The sequence below is a fragment of the Homo sapiens genome, chromosome 1 (assembly GCF_000001405.40).
Source record: "Homo sapiens chromosome 1, GRCh38.p14 Primary Assembly".
Lineage (NCBI taxonomy): Eukaryota > Metazoa > Chordata > Mammalia > Primates > Hominidae > Homo > Homo sapiens.
This window is the reverse complement of record NC_000001.11, coordinates 8,759,335-8,780,623: the sequence shown is the minus strand read 5'-3', so window position 1 is coordinate 8,780,623 and position 21,289 is coordinate 8,759,335. Positions and strand designations below refer to the sequence as shown.

Below are 21,289 nucleotides of genomic sequence, written 5' to 3'. Positions count from 1 at the left end.
GTGAAATCACTTCCTCTCCACCTGTACTTTATTTTCTGGTCCTTTTGACAGTAGGGCTTGATATTTTGGTATACCCTGGATGGCATTGTTCTCTTGACTCAGATGACCTAAATTACTTGCTGTTTATTGTAAAGTGGTTCAAGGATGCTTTGAGGTCCTAGAGTTAAAAATGGATGATTCTGAGTCAGTGTGGCTTGAAGAGCATGTCACTGAGGATCTCCTAGTCCACTGGGATGCAGCATTTGATCTGCTCCAGGTTGCATCCCCTTTTTCTCTGCTGTTTGTGTTAGTCTTTGCTTTCTGAGGTAACTCAGGCATGTACTCGCTGTAATGTCTACCCAAAGCCAGTCTCATTAAGACCAGCCAAGGCCAGGAAATGGGGAGGAAATAATACATACGAGGGTGCTGGAGCCCAAATAGGTTGTCCTTTACCCCAAGGTACAGGTCAAATTAGTGACAGAGTTGGCATTAGAACCCAGTCTTCTTAATGCCTAAGTTAGTGACTTAGTCATTTTTTTTGAGACAGAATCTTGCCACCTGAGTAGCTGGGATTACAGGTGCACAACACCATGCCTGACTAATTTTTGTATTTTTTTGTGGAGATGGGGTTTCACCAAGTTGGCCGTGCTGGTCTTGAACTCCTGGCCTCAAGTGATCTGCCCGCCTCGACCTCCCAAAGCGCTGGGATTACAGGCATAAGCTGCTCCCGGCCACTAAGTTAATGTTTTTTAAATAAATGAGTGTAAGCACTTTTATGTAATCATAAATTTTCATCATCATTGTAATGAATGCATAATGTATCATAAGTGTTTTCTGTTTTTTACTGCTGTAACACTATGGATCTTTTTATTTCCATTCAGTAAATAAGTGATTGTCATTGTTCTAGGCACTGAGGATATGATAATGAATAAATAGAAAAAAATCTCTGCTCTCATGGAGCTTACATTCTTTCTTTTTTTTTTGGAGACAGTCTTGCTTTGTCGCCCGGACTGGAGTGCAGTGGCGTGATCTCGGCTCATTGCAACCTCCGCCTCCCAGGTTCAAGCAATTCTCCTGTCTCAGCCTCCCGAGTAGCTAGGACTACAGGCACCTGCCACCATGCCCGGCTAATTTTTGTATTTTTAGTAGAAATGGGGTTTCACCTTGTTGTTAAGGCTGGTCTCGACCTCCTGGACCTCAGGTGATCCACCCACCTTGCCTCCCAAAGTGCTGGGATTACAGGTGTGAGCCACCGTGCCCAGCCTAATTTTTGTATTTTTAGTAGAGAATGGGGTTTCACCATGTTGGCCAGGCTGGTCTCGAACTCCTGACCTCGTGATCTGCCCACCTCGGCCTCCCAAACTGCTGGGATTACAGGTGTGAGCCACTGCGCCCGGATGGAACTTATATTCTAGCAGATAAATGTCATCTCATATTTACAATTATTTCCTTAGGATAGAGTCTAAGTGATGTTACACATAAAACTGTTTAGTAACTGGAGTGGGCGTGGTGGCTCATGCCTGTAATCCCAGCATTTTGGGAGGCTGAGGCAGGCAGATTACTTGAGGTCAGGAGTTCGAGACCAGCCTGGCCAACATGGCAAAACCCCGTCTCTACTAAAAATACAAAAATTAGCCAGGCATGGTGGTACATGCCTGTAATCCCAGCCACTTGGGAGCTGAGTCAGGAGAATTGCTTGAACCCAAGAGATGGAGGTTGCAGTGAGCCAAGACTGTACCACTGCAATCTAGCCTGGGTGACAGAGGAAGACTGTCTCAAAACAAAAACAAAACTGTTTAGTAACTGTATTTTCTTTTTCTTTTTTTTTTTTGGGAGACAAGGTCACAGTGGCATGATCTTGACTCACTGCAATGTCCACCTCGTGGACTCAAGTGATCCTCCCTCCTCAGCCTCCCGAGTAGCTGGGACTACAGGCACATGCCACCACAACTGAGTAGCTTTTGTATTTTTGCAGAGATGGGGTTTTGCCATGTTGCCCAGGCTGGTCTTGAACTCCTGGGCTCAAGTGATCCTTCTGCCTCGGCTTCCCGAAGAGCTGGAATTACAGTTATGAGCCACCACTCCCGAGCCACTGTATTTCTGAACATCAGAATGAGCTTTCCTTTAAACTCTGTAAAAAATGAAGTCTTCTATAGTATTTTTCTTTGCTTAAAATGTATAGTGTTTGCTGTCTCACATACAAGTGCTATCACAAATTAAACTGAGTAGAGACCTCTGGAAGGAAGTTTAAGTATCATCAGTTCTTGATAAGTAAAGAACGTTTTCACTAGATTGCTAAAATATATAAATAGATCTTGTGATTTTTGGCATGCCTGAGAAAATTTTCAGGTAATTTATTGTAAATTTAACTGCGCATCAAGAAACATCTTCTTAGAGCTGAATACAGCAGAAAGACTTTAAGACAACAGTCTATGTGGGGTCATCACAATGAGAATTATTTGATACTTTAACTCACTGTCTAATAGATAAATTTTATGTAATGGCTTGAGGTGAGTCAGTTCTTGCTGTTTGCTTAGTGTGGTGACTGTAAGAAATGGTTGGAGAAAAGGAATGATTGAGCTGCTGTATTCTTATTACTTCTAATAACCCATTCTTCAGGGTAGATGGTATTACTAATTTCCAGATGAGGAAATGGAGATTCAGAGAATTAATTTGTGCAGGGTATCACTATTAGTAATACAACATTTGGCCTTCAAATTGAGGTCTGGGTAGTTGAAGTTTTTTTTTTTTTTTAACCATATACTTTTATTTTTATACCATATACTTTTATTAAAAGTATGACACTTTGGGGCCGGGCACGGTGGCTCATGCCTGTAATCCCAGCACTTTGGGAGGCCGAGGCAGGTGGATCACGAGGTCAGGAGATCGAGACCATCCTGGCTAATGCGGTGAAACCACGTCTCTACTAAAAAAATACAAAAAGTAGCCGGGTGTGGTGGCGGGCACCTGTAGTCCCAGCTACTCAGGAGGCTGAGGCAGGAGAATGGTGTGAACCCAGGAGGTGGAACTTGTAGTGAGCCGAGATTGTGCCACTGCACTCCAGCCTGGGCAACAGAGCGAGACTGCATCTCAAAAAAAAAAAAAAAAAAAGTATGACACTTTGTTTTCAGAGTGACCTGTCTCAAACTACTGTCTTCTTTTAATTTCATGTAGAAAATATAATGTTCATTCTCTTCTGTTTTCCTATTTTCTTGATATTTTTCTTCAAAAAGTTATAAAAATTAAACCTAGGCTTGGGTATTCTCTTTGTTCTTTCTCCCTTCACAGTCACCTCCATTATTAAATTTTAATTGGTATAAAACATAAGAAAAATATTTGATGACACTTGATAGTATGTGTTTTCTAGAAGGGCAAAGAGAAAATCTGGACTTCTTAGATAAGACAATGCTTTCCAGAAGTGGAAGCACCCATATAACTTTTTAAGTAGGTTGCCGTGTAAATGTTAGCAGATAAAATATTGATAACTTTCTTTCGTGTTCTACTTAGAGCTCCTTCAAAGGTGAAGTGCTTATTGGCTTCACTCAGAATAAGTGGTTCTAATTTTTGACTTTGATACTGTTTTAACATTCAGCAAAAGAAAGTATTTAGGTCTGGTGTGGTGGCTCATGCCTGTAATCCTTGCATTTTGGCACTTTGGGAGGTGGAGACAGGCGGATAGCTTGAGCCCAGGAGTTCGAGACCAGCCTGGGCAATATGGTGAAACCCCACCTATACAAAAATTACCAAAAAAAAAAAAATTAGTTGGCCATGGTGGCGCATGCCTACACTCTCAGCTATTCCGGAGGCTGAGGTGGGAGGATCACCTGATCCCGGGGAGGTCGAGGCTGCAGTGAGCCGTGATGGTGCCACTGCACTCCAGCCTGGGTGACAGTGACACCCTGCCTCAAAAAAAAGATAATAAAATAAAAAAGAATTTAAGGGGAAGTTGAAACATTGATGGTTTTTAGAAGAAGGAAAGAGGAAAACTTAGTTACAAAATTTGGTAAGTTGTATATTACATGCTTAATAGAATGAAACAATATTTTGGGGCTAGGTGCCGTGGCTCATACCTGTAGTCCTGCACTTTGGGAGGCCAAGCCGGGCAGATCACATGAAGCCAGGAGTTCAAGACCAGCCTGGCCAACATGGCGAAAGCCTGTCTCTACTCAAAATACAACAATTAGTGGGTCATGATGGCGTGCACCTGTAGTCCCAGCTACTTGGAAGGCTGAGGCACTAGAGTCGCTTGAACCTGGGAAGCAGAGGTTGCAACGAGCCAGTATCACACCACCATACTCCAGCCTGGGCTACAGAGGGAGCCCCTGTCTTAAAAAAGAAAAGAATGAGACAGTGAAGAAAGTAACCCGGTAACTTCAGGTGGATGAAAAAATTAGAAAGTTACTGAGCTATTTAAAGTGAAAGGAAATGTAAAGTTTAGGAAATTTATATAAGAAATGGTTTGTGAAAATAGGAAGAATGATTACTGTGTTATGAATGATAAACAGATGAAGAATTTAGAGATTATTACAATTGGTATGGAAGCGATGTACTAATTTGGTGTTTACTTGAATATAATGAAACTAATTATTAACCATGTTTTCAGTGGAAAGATTTCTCAGTTAAGCAAAAGTTTAGCCTGGGTTTGAGAGGCAGTGTGGCATGATTGCTAAGAGCACAGATGCAGAATCCAAGACCGCCTGGGTTTAAATCTGAGCTCTACTGCATAGAGGCTTTATATTAATGAGGAAGTTACTTAACCTCCCTGGGCCTCAGCTTCCTCGATACAAAATGGAGATAGTAGTAATACCTACCTCATAAAATTGTTAAAAGAGTTAAATGAGTTAATATATGCAAAGCTTAAGTGATGAAAGAGGTAAAATATTCCATTGTTTATCAAACACACACCATGTGTATTTTATTTATTTTTTGTTTTTATGTTAGTTACTTGTTTCCTAGAAAACATGAAATAACCACCATGTGTATTTAATATTAGGTGCTAGAAAATACCGTTAAGGGAAAAAATTGTTTTTTAAAAAAGTTGATTTATTTGTTTAGTTTTTAAAGGCAAGATCTTACTGTGTTGCCCAGGCTGCAGTGCAGTGGTGTGATTGTAGCTCACTGCAGCCTCTACCTTCTGGGCCCAAGAGATCCTCTCATTTCAGCCTCCTGAGTAGCTGGGACTACAGGTGCGTGCCACCACATCTGGCTAATTTTTATTTTTTTATTTTTTGCTGAGACAGGGTCAGGGTCTTACTTTCTTGCCCAGGCTGGTCTTGAATGCCTAGCTTCAAGAAGTCTTCCTGCTTCGGCCTCCCAAAGTGTTGGGATTATAGGTGTGAGCCACTGTTCCCGGCCCAGAAAAAATTTATGAAGAAAGAAGAAATGTGGCTGGGTGTGGTGACTCATGCCTGTAATCCCAGCACTTTGGGAGGCTGAGGCAGGTGGATCACAAGGTCAAGAGATCGAGACCATCCTGGCCAACATGGTGAAACCCCGTCTCTACTAAAAATACAAAAATTAGCCGGGCGTGGTGGCGTGCGCCTGTAATCCCAGCTACTTGGGAGGCTGAGGCAGGAGAATCGCTTGAACCCGGGAAGTGGAGGTTGCAGTGAGTTGAGATCGCACCACTGCACTCCAGCCTGGTGACAGAGTGAGACTGTTTCAAAAAAAAAAAAAAAAAAAAAAAAAAAAAAGAAAGAAAGAAGAAATGCTACTATGAAAGGCTGATATGGGGCTTTTCACATGATTTAATTCTCCTCAGCTGGAATAATGAAATAATTTTAAGGAAAAGCAGATGAGGGTTGGACTATTGAGGAGTTAAAATACCCACCAATGAATGAGCACGTTCATGTTTGTTATGTTTATGTCCTTGAGAAGATTAGATAAACATGGTTTTATTCTGTATAATAGACTATTAATTCTTGTTTGATTCTTTTAGGTCATTGAAATAAGTTAGATTTCTTATAGGTTTTAATAGTTTGCCAAAATGATGGCCGGGTGTGGTGACTCATGCCTGTAGTCCCAGCAGTTTGGGAGGCCGAGGCGGGTCGATCAGCTGAGGTTGGGAGTTCAAGACCAGCCTGACACAACATGGAGAAACCCTGCCTCTACTAAAAATACAAAATTAGCCGGGCGTGGTGGCACATGCCTGTAATCCCAGCTACTAGGGAGGCTGAGGCAGGAGAATCGCTTGAACCCAGGAGGCGGAGGTTGGGGTGAGCCGAGATCGCGCCATTGCACTCCAGCCTGGGCAACAAGAGCGAAACTCTGTAGCAAAAAAAAAAAAAAAAAAAAAAATAGTTTGCCAAAATGAAGGAGATAATATTAAATTCCTACAAGCAGTGAGTATAAACCAGAGAAAGTAGAAGTGAAATCTGAAAGATGCTGAAATGAAGAAAACTGAGGACCAAAGAAAGACAGGTACAGTTGAGGCTGGAGAACAAATGCATCTCGAATATTCAGGATTGCTAGTGATTATGGCTAGAGAATGGGATGCCTCGAATGAATGGCTTTAGAGGTAGAGCAAGTTTGGCTGCGTGTGTGGATTCGTGGAGAGAGGACACCTAGGAACAAGGTACCTGGTTAGATGAGTACATTTTTGTTGCCATCACCCTGGATTATGATAGGATCCTGTTGAGAAGGAAGGCTATGAGCTGATGTCAAAGACTTGAGTAAATGAGTGGGAAAGATCATTAGAGATCATTCTGTTAAAATTCTATGGCAGTTCTTTTGTGACATTTCCCCTTCTCATTGTCTTTGACTGTCATTGATGTCAAATGTATGTACAGCATTGTAACTTACTTTAGATGTAACTTTTTTCTGAGATGGAGTCTCGCTCTGTCGCCCAGGCTGGAGTGCAGTGGCGCGATCTCAGCTCCCTGCAGTCTCTGCCTCCCAGGTTCAAGCGATTCTCCTGCCTCAGCCTCCCAAGTAGCTGGTATTATAGATGCGCACCACCACGCCCGGCTAATTTTTGTGTTTTTAGTAGAGACAGGGTTTCACCGTGTTGGTCAGGCTGGTCTCGAACTCCTCACCTTGTGATTCGCCCACCCTGGCCTCCCAAAGTGCTGGGATTACAGGCGTGAGCTACCGTGCCCAGCTAATTTTTGTATTTTTTTACATGGGGTTTTGCCATGTTGTGCAGGCTGGTCTTGAACTTCAGAGCTCAAGTGATTGGCGCACCTTGGCCTCCCAAAGCACTGGGATTTCAGGTGTGAGCCACCGTACCCGGCCAGCAACCTTCTTTCAGCATCTGCTTTCTTTGGTTGAGAGTTGTTATGAAGACATATCATCTGGTTATGATTTAATATAATTTCATATTATTGCTATAGCATTTCAAAGCATGAAATATTTCTTGAACATCTCTATTTAGACAGATGTTTTGACTTTTAGATCTTTAAGTTAAGATGACAAATAATAGTAACATTTTTGGACCTTAAAATTCTCAAAAACTTTCTTTGGTAATTCAATCAACAAAATTCTTTTTCTTTTAAGTTTAGTTGATATTGTATTAAAGGTACAGACCAGATATTCACTTATTTTTTTATTTTTATTTTTTAAAGAAGTAAATTTCTTAGTTGCCCAGGCTGGAATACAATGGCATGATCTCTGTTCACTGCAACCTTCACCTCCTGGGTTCAAGCGATTCTTGCGCCTCAGCTTCCCAAGTAGCTGGGATTACATGCATGTGCCACCAAGCCTGGCTAATTTTTGTACTTTTAGTAGATGGGGTTTCACTATGTTGGCCAGGCTGGCCTTGAACTCCTGGCCTCAAGTGATCCACCTGCCTCAGCCTTCCAAAGTGCTGGGATTACAGGCATGAGCCACTGTGCCCAGCCCATAAATTTCTTTTTCTTTTCTTTTTTTGAGACCGAGTCTTGCTCTGTTGCCCAGGCTGGAGTGCAGTGGCCAATCTCAGCTTACTGCAACCTCTACCTTCCGGGTTCAAGTGATTCTTCTGCCTCAGCCTCCTGAGTAGCTGCTGGGACTACAGGTGCCCGCCACCATGCCCAACTAATTATTTTGTATTTTTAGTTGAGATGGGGTTTCACCATGTTGGCTAGGCTAGTCTTGAACTCCTGATCTCAGGTGATCCACCTGCCGTGGCCTTTCAAAGTGCTGGGATTACAGGTGTGAACCACCAAGTCCTGCCGAATTTCTTCTTCTTGGAAACACTGATTTTCCTTGTTGAGTTCCTCAAAGCCATTGTAAAGTTCTTATCAGAGCAAGGTACAGTATGTAATCTAATTTTTTTTCCTTGCTGGATTTGTAAGTTTACTTTGTAAGATTTTACTTAGAATGATGCTTCAAGAGGATAAAGTAAAACAGAATTTATATATCAGGAACAAATATCTCAAGTAGCAGTAAGTTTCAGTCCAGTGTAGTGACAGGTTATATCTCGTAATTAAAAAAAATAAGCATATGTTTGTAATTGAGTATATATTTCAATATAAAACAGTTGAAGCTCCTGCCTTCATGGAGTTTATAGAGATAACAGCTGTCTGTATTTTGGTGTCTTTTCTTCCAGTCTCTTTTTCTAGTTATATGTATTACAAAATTGGGATTATTTTACAAAATTGGGTATATAGATATTACATATGTACATGTACATGTGACAGTACATACATACAAAATTTTATATGTTTTCCTAAACAGCGTTTGCAGCAGAGTTCTCACAAGTCTCTAAAAACCTATTTTATCTTTCTTTTTTCTTTCTTTTTTTTTTTTTTTTTTTTGAGACAGAGTCTCACTCTGTCACCCAGGCTGGAGTGCAGTGGCGTGATCTCCGGTCACTGCAAGCTCCGCCTCCCGGGTTCATGCCATTCTCCTGCCTCTGCCTCCCGAGTAGCTGGGACTACAGGCACCCGCCACCGCGCCTGGCTAATTTTTTGTATTTTTAGTAGAGACGGGGCTTCACCTTGTTAGCCAGGATGGCCTCTATCTCCTGACCTCGTGATCTGCCTGCCTTGGCCTCCCACAGTGCTGGGATTACAGGCGTGAGCCACCATGCCCGGCCCATCTTTTTTCTGATTGTAAAATTAGTATATGCTAATTATAAACTTTACATAATGCAAAAAAATATTTAGCAAATAGAAGTTCCTAATAGTTTTTTTTTTTTTTTTGAAACAAGTTTCTCTCTGTCACCCAGGCTGGAGTGTAGTGGCGCAATCTCAGCTCACTGCAACCTCTGCCTCCTGGGTTCAAGCGATTCTCCTGCCTCAGCCTCCGGAGTATCTGGGACCTCAGGTGTGCGCCATCACGTCTGGCTAATTTTTTTGTATTTTTAGTAGAGATGGGGTTTTGTCATGTTGGCCAGGCTGGACTCGAACTCCTGACCTCAAGTGATCCACCCGCCTCGGCCTCCCAAAATTCTGAGATTAGGTGTGAGCCACCACGCCCGGCCCAGTTTCTAATAGTTCTAATCTCCAAAATGATAGCTGTTAGAGGAGTTCCATGTTTTTTCTCTAAAAAACATTTATGCTATATGCATTTTCTTTTTCATTACATTTTCCCCCCCCAGCAGGTGGGTTGTTGCATCTCCTTAGTGGATTCTGACTGCTGTAGTTATTTTCTGTCTTTTTTTAATTAATAGAAATAAGATTTTATTCTACATACTGTACTGAGACCCACTTTTTAATCTTAACCACAAATCATGAACATTTCCCCAAATAGGTGCACACATAGTTTATTTTTTAATAATTACAGGTATTCCATAAGAAAACATGTTAGTGTTATAATTTGGCCTGTTTTCAACTGATAGATGTTTAGACTGCCTCCGGTTATTTGCTATTATGAACGATGCTGCAGTTAACATCCTTGTCAATATCTTTTCATAAACCTGTGAATATTTTTACAGGATGAATTCCTAAAAATAGAGTTACTGATTCAAAAGTTAGGCATATTTTAGATTTTAGTAGAAATTGCCAAGTTACCCTCTAAAAAAGATTGTACCAATTTTGGGCAGTACATTAGCCATAGGTTTTTAAAATACAGCATTTTGTTGAGTGCTTACAGTTTGCCACAGTGTTGTTCTACGTCACTGTACCCTTCCCTTGTTCTTCATGGATTGTTAAGTATAGTTATTTCGCAGATGAGGAAACTGAGGACAGAGCTAGTACGTAGTAGGGCTATAAGTAGACTGAGGCAGTCTGCTTCTCGAGACTGTGCTCTCAATCAGTAGGTGACATTTTCTCTAAATCTAGTTTTGGACAAAACATTCAGTGATGCTACAATATTGAAAATGTAGTTTTGCATTATTGAGAAGGTAAGGCCCTAATTATCCATAATCCATGGGGAATGACCCCTTACAGTCATCCTTTTAAAAAAAAATTTTTTTTTAAATAAGTACCCATTCTGTGTCAGGTACTGTACCTCATGATAATACCTTAACTATTTCAATAATATTCTGAAATGAGAATGTTTACTCCGTTACAGGTGAAAACACTGTGTTCAGTGGTATTGACTCTTTGTGTTACAGAACTTTTGGTGATAGTTGTTTCAAGCTTTGTTTTAGAAAATTTCCAATATATTAGTGTACTTAAAAATTAATGGTGTTGGCCGGGCGCGGTGGCTCACGCCTGTTATCTCAGCACTTTGGGAGGCTGAAGCGGGTGGATTACCTGAGGTCGGGAGTTCAAGACCAATCTGGCCAACATGGTGAAACCCCATCTCAACTAAAAACACAAAGAATTAGCCAGGTGCAGTGGTGTGCGCCCGGAATCCCAGCTACTCGGGAGGCTGAGGCAGGAGAATTGCTTGGACCTGGGAGATGGAGGTTGTGGTGAGCTGAGATTGTGCCACTGCACTCCAGCCTGGGCAACAGAGCGAGACTTCATCTCAAAAAATAAAAAATAAAAAAAAATCGTGTGGCCTGGGTGTGGTGACTCATGTCTGTAATCCCAGCATTTCGGGAGGCTGAGGCAGGAGTATCGCTTGAGTCCAGGAGTTCGAGACCAGCCTGGGCAGAGACCCCATCTCTACAAAAATAAAATAATAAAGTTAGCTGGGCATGATAGCATGAGCCTGTAGTCCCAGGTACTTGGGAGGCTGACATGGGAGGATCGCTTGAGCCTTGGAGGTTGAAGCTGGAGTGAGCCATGACTGTGCCACTGCACCTCACCCTGGGTGAGCGATTGAGACCCTGTCTCCAAACAAACCAAAATGATGTGTTTTACATCCTTTATAGTGGTTTGGAGTTTTACAACTTTAAAAATGGTTCGGAATTCAGTGTCTTAAGGTTGTCATTCTGAATTAGGCATCTGCCTATCACTTTGTACTTGGACAGTCATTTATTGGGTCAGTGATTTTTTGATGGAATACTGTGGATTGGGATTGGAAGTGCAGTATTTTAAATCTTCTATATATGATTGTTTTTGTTTTTTGTTTTTTCCTTGAAATTGCTTTTTTCCTAATAATAAAATACAGCAGCAGTTTACCCCTCAAAACAAAGTCTTTTACTCCTTTTACTCAAATCATTGGGTAAAAAACATTTACTCAAATCAATGATTTACTATGTGAGGTAGTAAACATTTTAGGCTGCGTGGGCCAGATGGTCACAACTACTCACCTCTACCCTTATAGCCCCAAAGCATGGATACATGCTTTTACAGCAAATGAGTATGTCTGTGTTCCTATAAAATTTATTTGTAAAAACAGGTTGCAGTCCAGATGTGGCCTGTGGGCCACCGTTTGCCGACCTCTGGCCTCTAGAAGTTGTCTGATGAACATTTTTCCCCTAAGGATGATGAACTCCTTCTCTAAGTACACGGTTTCTCTTGGAACTTGGGGTGTGAAATGGATTTCCTTTGTCCTCCTAGTCCACACCCACATTTTTGAGACTTTAGAGCTCTTGTATTATGAGAATAGAACCAAAGGCTCTTCAGGGACAAGCGTCGGTGTTGTTACATGTATTCATAAGTGAGTGAATTCACATCTTTTGTGTTGTAAACAGGACTCTTGGACACCTAACTGGCCTGTAAATTTCTTCATTTTCTTTAACAGAAAAGTTTACTGTGCTGTTCTTTATGGTAGGCACTACCCTCATATGACTATTTAAATTAACTTAAATAAAATTTAAAGTTAAGTTCTTCAGTCACACTAGCTGCATTTCAAGTGTTCAGTGGCTACATGTGACCAGTGGGTGCTGTGTTGGCCAGCACAGATACAGTATATTTCCATCATTCCCAACAGTTCTGTTGGACAATACTCGTCTAGAATTCTGACTTAAGGATTAGAGAAAAAGGACATAGAAATGATATTAAAGTATAATGAATGAATGATACTTTCATTATCTTCTGAAATGGATATTGTGGTTTATACAACTTTCCTGGAAAGAATGTTTTTCCATGGTTAGATTTAGAGTGCAGAGTATTCCTGTGTAAGTACATACATCAAATTTCCTCTTAGTTATTTCTATCTTTAAGGTATAGCTGAAAATCAAGACTCCAGAAACACGTTCTTTTTACATTATTTGGAAGAAAGTCATTATGCTACTAAGTAATTTTAAAGAAAAAGACATCATTCAGCTAATGGATGCCTCATGAAGTCATGGCCTTTTTACTCCAAATGGCCTGTGACTATTTCAAGTGGTCCTTCTGTATCTGTCCACCACGTAGCTCGTCTTTTCTCCATCACTTTTATTTATTCATTTTTATTTTATTTTATTATTATATTATATTTGGAGACAAAGTTTCGCTCTGTCACCCAGGCTGGAGTACAGTGGTGTGATCTCTGCTCCCTGCAACCTCCGCCTCCTAGGTTCAAGTGATTCTCCTGCCTCAGCCTCCCAAGTAGCTGGGACTACAGGCGTGCACCACCATGCCTGGCTAATTTTGTTTTTATTTTTAGTAGAGATGAGGTTTCACCATGTTGGCCAGGCTGGTGTTGAACTCCTGACCTTCAAGTGATCCGCCTGCCTTGGCCTCCCAAAGTGCTGGGATTACAGGCTATTTTTAATTTTTTTTAATAAAGAAAGCTTTTTATTTAGAAATCCCATCCTTTTTGATAAGCAGCATTTTTTTTCTTTCTCTTTTTTTTTTTTTGAGACAAGGCCTCACTCTGCAGCCCAGGTTGGAGTGCAGTGGTGCAATCTTGGTTTACTGCAGCCTCCACCTACTGGTTCAAGTGATCCTCCTGCCTTGGCCTCCCAAGTAGCTGGGATTAATACAGATGTGCACCACATCACCCAGCTAATTTTGACTTGCTTTTTGTAGAGATGAGATTTCACCATGTTGCCCAGGCTGGTCTCAAATTCTGGCTCAAGCAATTGTCCTGCCCCAGACTCCTAAAGTATTGGGATTACAGGCATGAGCCACTGTGCCTGGCCTCCATTGCTTTTATTTCAATTATGTATCAAACCTTGGATTCCTGGTCTACTTTCTCATACCACCCATCCTTCCGTTCCATTTCCTGAATTGATGACCTCATTTCCAGAGAAAATAGAAGCCATCAAATTAGAACTTCTCGGTTTTCAACCAGTAATGCTACATGCCAGTGATACCCAACTACTTACAGTTTCTGGTGTAGAAAATGAATAGTCAATTTATTGTTAAAAAGTTTAAAGTCCAATTTTCCTTGAGCCTTGAGTTCAGTTTATAAATCATATTAGTCTATTCATTAATTCAGTACATTTTATATAAAGGTAAAAGAAAAATAATGCAGTTTTTGATACATGTTGATTAATTCAAGTTGAATTCTGTTTAAATATCCAGTTCTACTTATAAACATAACTAACATTAAATTGCATTTTAAAATTAGATAAATGCCCAAGAAAGCTTCCAACAAAACCTTAAAACAAAACCTTCTTAAAACCTTCTCTAAGTCCTTATATAACTTTTGTAAATATAATTAAATTTCACAATATTGTGAATTTTCCTGCTCCCAAACATGTCTTTCTGTGTTTTCCTGTTTTGATAAATGCTACTCAATTTTCTAAGTAAGTAACCCTGGGCTGTGTTGATTCCTTCTCTTCTCCCCACTATATAGAATCAAGTATTGTTTCTTTTTCCTGTATCTCTTATCTCTTCCTAATCCATTACGCTAGTTCAGGCCACTGTCTCTCTCTCTCTCTTTTTTTTCTTTTCTTTTTTTTTTTTTTTTTGCAATGGAGTCTTGCTGTGTTGCCTAGGCTGGAGGGCAGTGGTGTAATCTTGGCTCTTGGCTGACTGCAACCTCCACCTCCTGGGTTCAAGTGATTCTCCCACGTCAGCCTCCTGAGTAGCTGGGATTATAGGTGCGTGCCACTACATCCAGCTAATTTTTTGATTTTTAGTAGAGATGGGGTTTCACCATGTTGGCCAGGCTGGTCTTGAACTCCCGACCTCAAGTGGTCTGCCAGCCTTGGCCTCCCAAGTGCGGGGATTATAGGCGTGAGCCACTGCACCTGGCCACTGTCTCTTGCTTGAATTACTTTATAGATTCCAAACCAGTTGGCATGTTCAAATCCTCTAATTTCTAACAAAATTAGAAATTTTGTTCTTCACTGCTGTAGTCCTTTTGATCTTTTGTTTGTTTTTTCTTTTTGTTGTTGTTGTTTTGAGATGCAGTTTCATTGTTGCCCAGGCTGGAGTGCAGTGTTGCAATCTCAGCTCACTGCAACCTCTGCCTCCCAGGTTCAAGTGATTCTCCTGCCTCAGCCTCCCAAGTAGCTAGGATTACAGGCATGCACCAGCACACTCGGCTAATTTTTTTTTTTTTGAGACGGAGTCTCGCTCTGTCGCCAGGCTGGAGTGCAGTGGTGCGATCTTGACTCACTGCAACCTCCGACTCCCTGGTTCAAGCGATTCTCTTGCCTCAGCCTCCCGGGTAGCCGGGATTGCAGGCACGTGCCACCATGTCCTACTAATTTTTGTATTTTTAGTAGAGACGGGGTTTCACCATGTTGGCCAGGATGGTCTCGATCTCCTGACCTTGTGATCCGCCTGCCTCGGTCTCCCAAAGTGCTGAGATTACAGGTATGAGCTACCTCGCCTGGCATAATTTTGTATTTTTAGTAGAGATGGGGTTTCACCAGGTTGACCTGGCTGGTTTTGAACTCCTGACCTCGGGTGATCCATCCACCTCAGCCTCCCAAAGTGCTGGTATTACAGACATGAGCCACCGCATCCGGCCTTTTGTTTGGTTTTATAACAGCTTTATTGAGATACAATTCACATATCATATAATTTACCTACTTAAATTGTACAATTCAATTGTTTTTTGTGTTCACAGAGTTGTGCAATCATCACTGCAATTTCAGAACATTTAATTATGCCCAGAAGAAATCCTGTATCCATGAGCAGTTACTCCTCATTTCCTCCTCTACTCATCCCCCAGCCCTAAGCAGCCCTTAATCTTCTTTCTGTCTTTATGGATTTGCCTATTCTGGACATTTCACGTTAATTGAATCATGTAGTCTTTTGTAACTGGCTGCTTTGACTTAGTATAATGTTTTCAAGGTTCACCCATGTGGTAGCATAACATCTGTACTTCATTCCCAATAAATGCCAAATCATAGTCCATTGTGTGGCTATGCCACATTTTATTTATTCACTAGTTGATGGACACTTTGAATGGTTCTACTTTTTGGCTGTTAAAAAAATGCTGTTGTGAACGTTCATGTACAAACTTCTGTGAGGATGTGTATTTGCATTTCTCTTGGGGTGACTTCCAAAGCCTAAGAGTGAAATTTTTGGGGGGTATGGAACCTCTGTTTAACATTTTGAGAAACTGACAAACTGTTTTCCAAAGTGGCTACACCATGTTACAATTTTACTAGCAATGCATGAACCTTGCAGTTTTTCCACATTAGCACTAATACTTACTATCTGGGTTTTGGATTGTAGCCATTCTGATGGGTGTGAAGTGGTATCTTACAGTTTTGATTTGCATTTCCCTAATGAGGTTGAGCCTCTGTCTTGTGCTTACTGGCCCTTTGCTTTTTTGGAGCCTTTGATCTTTTAAAAATAGAAATCTGGGTGAATTACGTCCCTGAGTAATGGCTGTGTGGTGAACATTCTTTTCTTCTTAGCCTGGTCACCTCTTGCTTGCTTCAGTTTACAGGTAATTTTCTTCAGGGAGCCTTCCTTGAACCCCGGCTGTTTGCATTCAGCCCACTCTGTTGTTGTGATTGTTTATCTAGACTTCCTTTCTGACCACACTAAGCATAGTTAACAGAGATTATACTTGGCATGGGATTGACTGGATGACTGAATACATAGATGACTGTAGCTTTTTTTTGTTTTTAAACATTTAACTTAAGAAAAAAATTCTGTCTTGGAGTTAGTACCCGAAGCAGTATTTCATGATTTTTGTGTGTTCCTTGTTTCCTCTCATTTTCCCGATGGCACTAAGGCACCTGGCTGGGATCCTATAGAGAGCGACACATTGCAGTTGCTCTCTGCATAGTAAGCTTCCCCCAAGAGTCATAGATGAGGCAAAACCCATGTGTACTCTGAGGCCAGGGCTGAGTGCATAAGGAGCAGCTGCAACTTGCCCTGGGGATATTCTTTGACCTGGAGGAGGCAGTGATGAGGGAAAGGGAAGACAGCGTGGGAACCATCTTGATAAGAAGCATGGGGTTCTGAGAAATAGCCTCCTAGGATTGGTACACTGCAGCTGGTGGCAGAGGTCTTCTTGACCTTGAGTTAGCTTTTTGAGTGAGAATAAATAACAGTCAACTAGCACCTTCACTTCCTGAATTATAGGAGGGACTTTTTTTTTTTTTTTTTAGACGGAGTCTTGATCTGTTGCCAGGCTGGAGTGCAGTGGCGTGATCTCGGCTTACTGCAACCTCTGCTTTCTGGGTTCAAGTGATTCTCCTGCCTCGGCCTCCCGAGTAGTTGGGACTACAGGTGCGCATGCCACCACACCCGGCTAATTTTTGTACTTTTAGTAGAGATGGGGCTTCACCATGTTGGCCAGGATGGTCTCTATCTCCTGACCTCGTGATCCGCCTGCCTCGGCCTCCCAAAGTGCTGGGATTACAGGCATGAGCCACCGTGCCCGGTCTTGTTTTTTGTTTGTTTGTTTTTTGAGACGGAGTCTAGCTCTGTCGCCCAGGTTGGAGTGCAGTGGTTCGATCTTGCCTCACTGCAACCTCTGCCTCCCAGGGTCAAGTGATTCCCCTGCCTTAGCCTCCTGAGTGGCTGGGATTACAGGCGTGCGCCTCCACATCTGGCTGATTTTTTTGTGTTTTTAGTTGAGACGGGGTTTCATTATGTTGGTCAGGCTGGTCTCAAACTCCTGATTTCAAATGATCCATGCGCCTCAGTCTCCCGAAGTGCTGGGATTACAGGTGTGAGCCACTGCGCCCAGCTGGACATCATTTTTAATACTGCATGGAAACTCTTGATTATGGGAGTAGATTTTTTTTCTTTTAGTTTTCAAGAAGTACCTCTTACTTATTTTTTTAAGGACGTCTTATTTCTGAACTGAGAAGTGAATTACACCCTATGATTTTTTGCAGAGTTGTACAAAAACAAATAGAATCTGGATTTGTTCCTATGGTTGTAACTTTACTGAGGTAAATATTATCTTTCTCCATCAAGCTGTCTAGAAATAATCTTCTGTTTTCATTTTCGTCCTCTAAACCTGCTATATATTGCAGATAGGAAATTTCTGAGTCACTGTTTTCTTTTTTAAGCTTACTGGACCCTAACTTCTTTTAGTCTTCCATGCCTAGATTTTTGCTGATTGAGGGACTGTGATAATTTTTTTTTCCTCCTTTGCTCAAGAGTGTGACTTTACTGTAGAAGGCAAAATACTAATTTTCCATGGTCCCAGGTCATTCTGGAATTTTGAGCTCCTAGTCTTCATTTATGTGGTGTAGTTTCTCCATAAGCCTTGCCATAAGGGGAAGAAAAAGAGGAGCTGACCTTATGGTGGAAACATCAATGTTTGGAGAAGAAGTATTGGAGAAATAAGGAGGCTGTTTTAAACAGGGTGGTCATTAAGGTCATCTTGAATCGTTTAGTCCATTATCAGAGGAAAGTCCCCCTGAGGCTTCATCCAGAAGGACCAAAGCTGAGGCCCTAGGAAATGTTCCTGGCCTCAGTGAATAGTAGAGTTAGATGGTGCCTGACCTAGCTAACTGATGCTACTTTTTTTGTCTTCAAATAAAATAAGCACCTTTCTCGGGTATTCTAGGAACCAAAAAGGGCTGGTTTCATGGAAATTATGATTAGTCTTCACAATTTGTATGTTTTAAAAAAATTAAGTAAATGGGCACAAGTTCTTGTGCTGAAAAGCTTGTGTTATAACCGAGAAAGCTGATTTGTAATTTTTTCATTCATTTGTCAAATATTTAAGTACCTACTGTGTGCAAGTATATTTTCACCAGAATTTGTGGGAGACTCACAGTTCAATTAGACATTGAACCTTCTCCTAAGGCGCTTGTCTTCCAGTAGGGTGACGATGCTTGTATGTCAGTACAGGTACTTGTGATAGGAGGCTGAAATTGGTAAGGGTCAAGTGAGGTACTGCTGAAGTTCAGAGGAGGAAGCAATGACCTCTCCTTAGGGGAAGGAGATTACACAAGGTTGCTTGGAGAAGGAGGCATTTGGTCTGAATCTTGAAGGGTTGATTGGTGGGGAATGGAGCCTTTTTGAAGGTGTTCTGATAAAGGAGTGACATGATAGAGTTGTGTTTTAGGATAGCTATTTCTAGTATGTCATGAAAGGAAGAGAGTGAAGACTGGGTGGAAAGTAATGAGAATCTAACCTTTCTTTTTTCTTTTCCTTTTTTTTGAGACAGAGTTTCACTCTTGTTGCCCAGTCTGGAGTGCAATGGCGTGATCTTGGCTCACTGCAACCTCCGCCTCTTGGGTTTAAGTGAGTCTCCTGCCTCAGCCTTCCGAGTAGCTGGGATTACAGGCATGCACCACCACGCCCGACTATTTTTTTGTATTTTTAGTAGAGACGGGGGAGTTTCTCCATGTTGGTCAGGCTGGTCTTGAACTCCTGACCTTAGGTGATCTGCCTGCCTCGACCTCCCAAAATGCTGGGATTACAGGCATGAGCCACCATGCCCGGCCGAGAATCTAACCTTTCTAACTGTAGGGGAAATGAAGAGGTATGACAGATGGGAGACGTTGTAGAGGTAGAATTAGTTGGATTTGGCAACTGTTAGAACAAGGCATATAGTCTTACATGTGGGGGAGGTGTGAAGCATAGGTAATTTGCATTACACCTGTGCCATTAAAAAATTGGGAACACAGGAGGACAAACTGATTTGAGGAAGAAGATGCTAATAAATACAGCTTTTTATTGAGATGAGTGATTTTTGTCATTAGGCAGATGGAAATATTTAATATCTTGAGAAGTCATCAAGGTTAAGATGGAGATACTGAGAATGGGGTAGTTGAAGCCCCGAGGTGGAATAAAATTGCCAAAGGATTTAGTGTCAGATGTATCTTTTCCAAGTTTGTCACATTGCAAAACCTGAAAATCCTCCAGTTTTAGGACAGGATTGCTCTGGTGTTGTTTAAAGAACTCAGATTCTTCCTTTGAGTTTTTATTTCTCTTTGAGGTTCTTTCATTTTGATTCTCATTTTGGTAAGACGGTAAAGCATAATGGTTCCGAGTCTGAGCTTGAGAACAGAAGGATTGGGTTTGAATCCTTGTTCTGCCACCTCTCTGTCCTGTAATCCTGTTAGAGTTATGGAACGTCTTTGTGCCTCCATTTCCTTGTCTATATAATGGAGCTGATAATAGCTAAATGATAGGGTTGTTTATACATTAGTGGGATAATGTATGAAAATAATTTAGCCTGGCACATGGAACATAAGAAGTGCTCCATAAATGGTAGCTAATGTTGCCCTGAGAGTCTTGCTGGCTCCACTGCTTCTAATCCTAGAGTGTAGAGCTTCTCTTTTTAAATATAAAATTGTACAAAGTGTTTTGTTTTCATTTAGCATAACTGACACTGGCTGGATTTTCAAAGAATTTAACTTAGTATTAATATTAGTATTCCAAGGGAATAATTATAGTAAATATATTAAGAAACCATCCTGGGTGACAGAGCGAGACCCTATCTTCAAAACACAACAAAAATCCATGGAAATGGGCTTAAAATATCAAAAGCCTGTCCAAATTCAGTTACCTGTTCTTGGGCTTCCTGCTACCCTCCCTGTGACCTCTCACCCTTCACACCAAGGAACTGTGTCTCTCACACCTCTACCAGGTCCCTGCAGATACTTGCAACAAAGCTGTACTACTGACCCAGGACTCTTTCTTTTAATTCATCTCCGATTTTTGGCATCTTATCTAAGGCTGACTTTTGTGGACTGTGGTGATTGATATAAATGATGTATAAATGATTGTCTTAACTATTACAGGCCTAGGGGCTGGGCGCAGTGGCTTACGCCTCTAATCCCTGCACTTTGGGAGGCCGAGGCGGGCGGATCACCTGAGGTCAGGAGTTCAAGACCAGTCTGGCCAACATGATGAAACCCCGTCTCTACTGAAAATACAAAAAATTAGCTGGGCGCGGTGGCGGGCACCTGTAATCCCAGCTACTCAGGAGGCTGAGGCAGGAGAATTGCTTGAACCCGGGAGGCAGAGGTTGCAGTGAGCTGAGATTACGCCACTGCACTCCAGCCTGGGCAACAAGAGTGAAACTCCATCTCAAAAAAACAAAACAAAACTAAACTAAACTAATGATAGGCCTAGGTCTATTTACTTGGGGAGAATTTATTTTGAATTATTTCTCAGATAAATCTTCCTTTTCCCATATAGGAAACTGACCTTAATTAGATTTATACAGTGTAATAGCTCTGATCATCAAGACATATTGTGTGTGTGTGTGTGTGTGTGTGTGTGTGTGTGTGTGTATAGAGAGAGTAAGAATTTAGAGTTATACGTATATTGGCAGGAAAATTGTCCCTCACATTTGAATTTTGTAGTGTTTTTCTTCATGTCTGTTGAACTTGTGTAGTGTTCTAAGTTCTTTATGGCTGTTTTGCAATTGAGCGTAGTGGGTGTACAGTTTCACACAACCTGCAGTTAGCAGAGCCACTTAGTTATTGGGATGGGAATGGCACCCATATCTCTTGAGATTTTGATTTTTTAAAAACTGTGCTAAACCGTATTCTCCAAAGGAGAGAAGAAAGAATTTTGCAGTTTTCGTTCTGTTTTTTCTTTTGGGAAGCGTCTACTTTGGAGAATTTAACCCTTTTCTAAAGTAACTGCAGTTGTCTTTTATTCCCCTTTTTGAAATACCTGTGACCTATAGTTTGATTGGACCAACAAAGGCCTCAGGTGCACTGGCTTGTTTCACTTGTGTGCTTCTGGCCTTTTTCTTTCTAATTCTTCATCCTTGCCTTTTGAAAGGATGA

At 41.4% G+C, this 21,289-nt stretch overlaps 1 protein-coding gene across 2 annotated transcripts in view, besides 1 other annotated feature; it reads left to right on the top strand.

Moving 5' to 3' along the window:
* The window catches only part of RERE (arginine-glutamic acid dipeptide repeats), a 465,237-nt gene that overhangs the window by 37,017 nt on the left and 406,931 nt on the right, over positions 1-21,289 (top strand). The window lies entirely within an intron of this gene.
* Positions 16,504-16,553: an enhancer, noted in NCBI's record as "active region_110". NCBI's record gives its function as "activates an Ori minimal core promoter by ATAC-STARR-seq in GM12878 lymphoblastoid cells {active_cell/tissue: GM12878}" and the evidence as "EXISTENCE:reporter gene assay evidence [ECO:0000049][PMID:35858748]".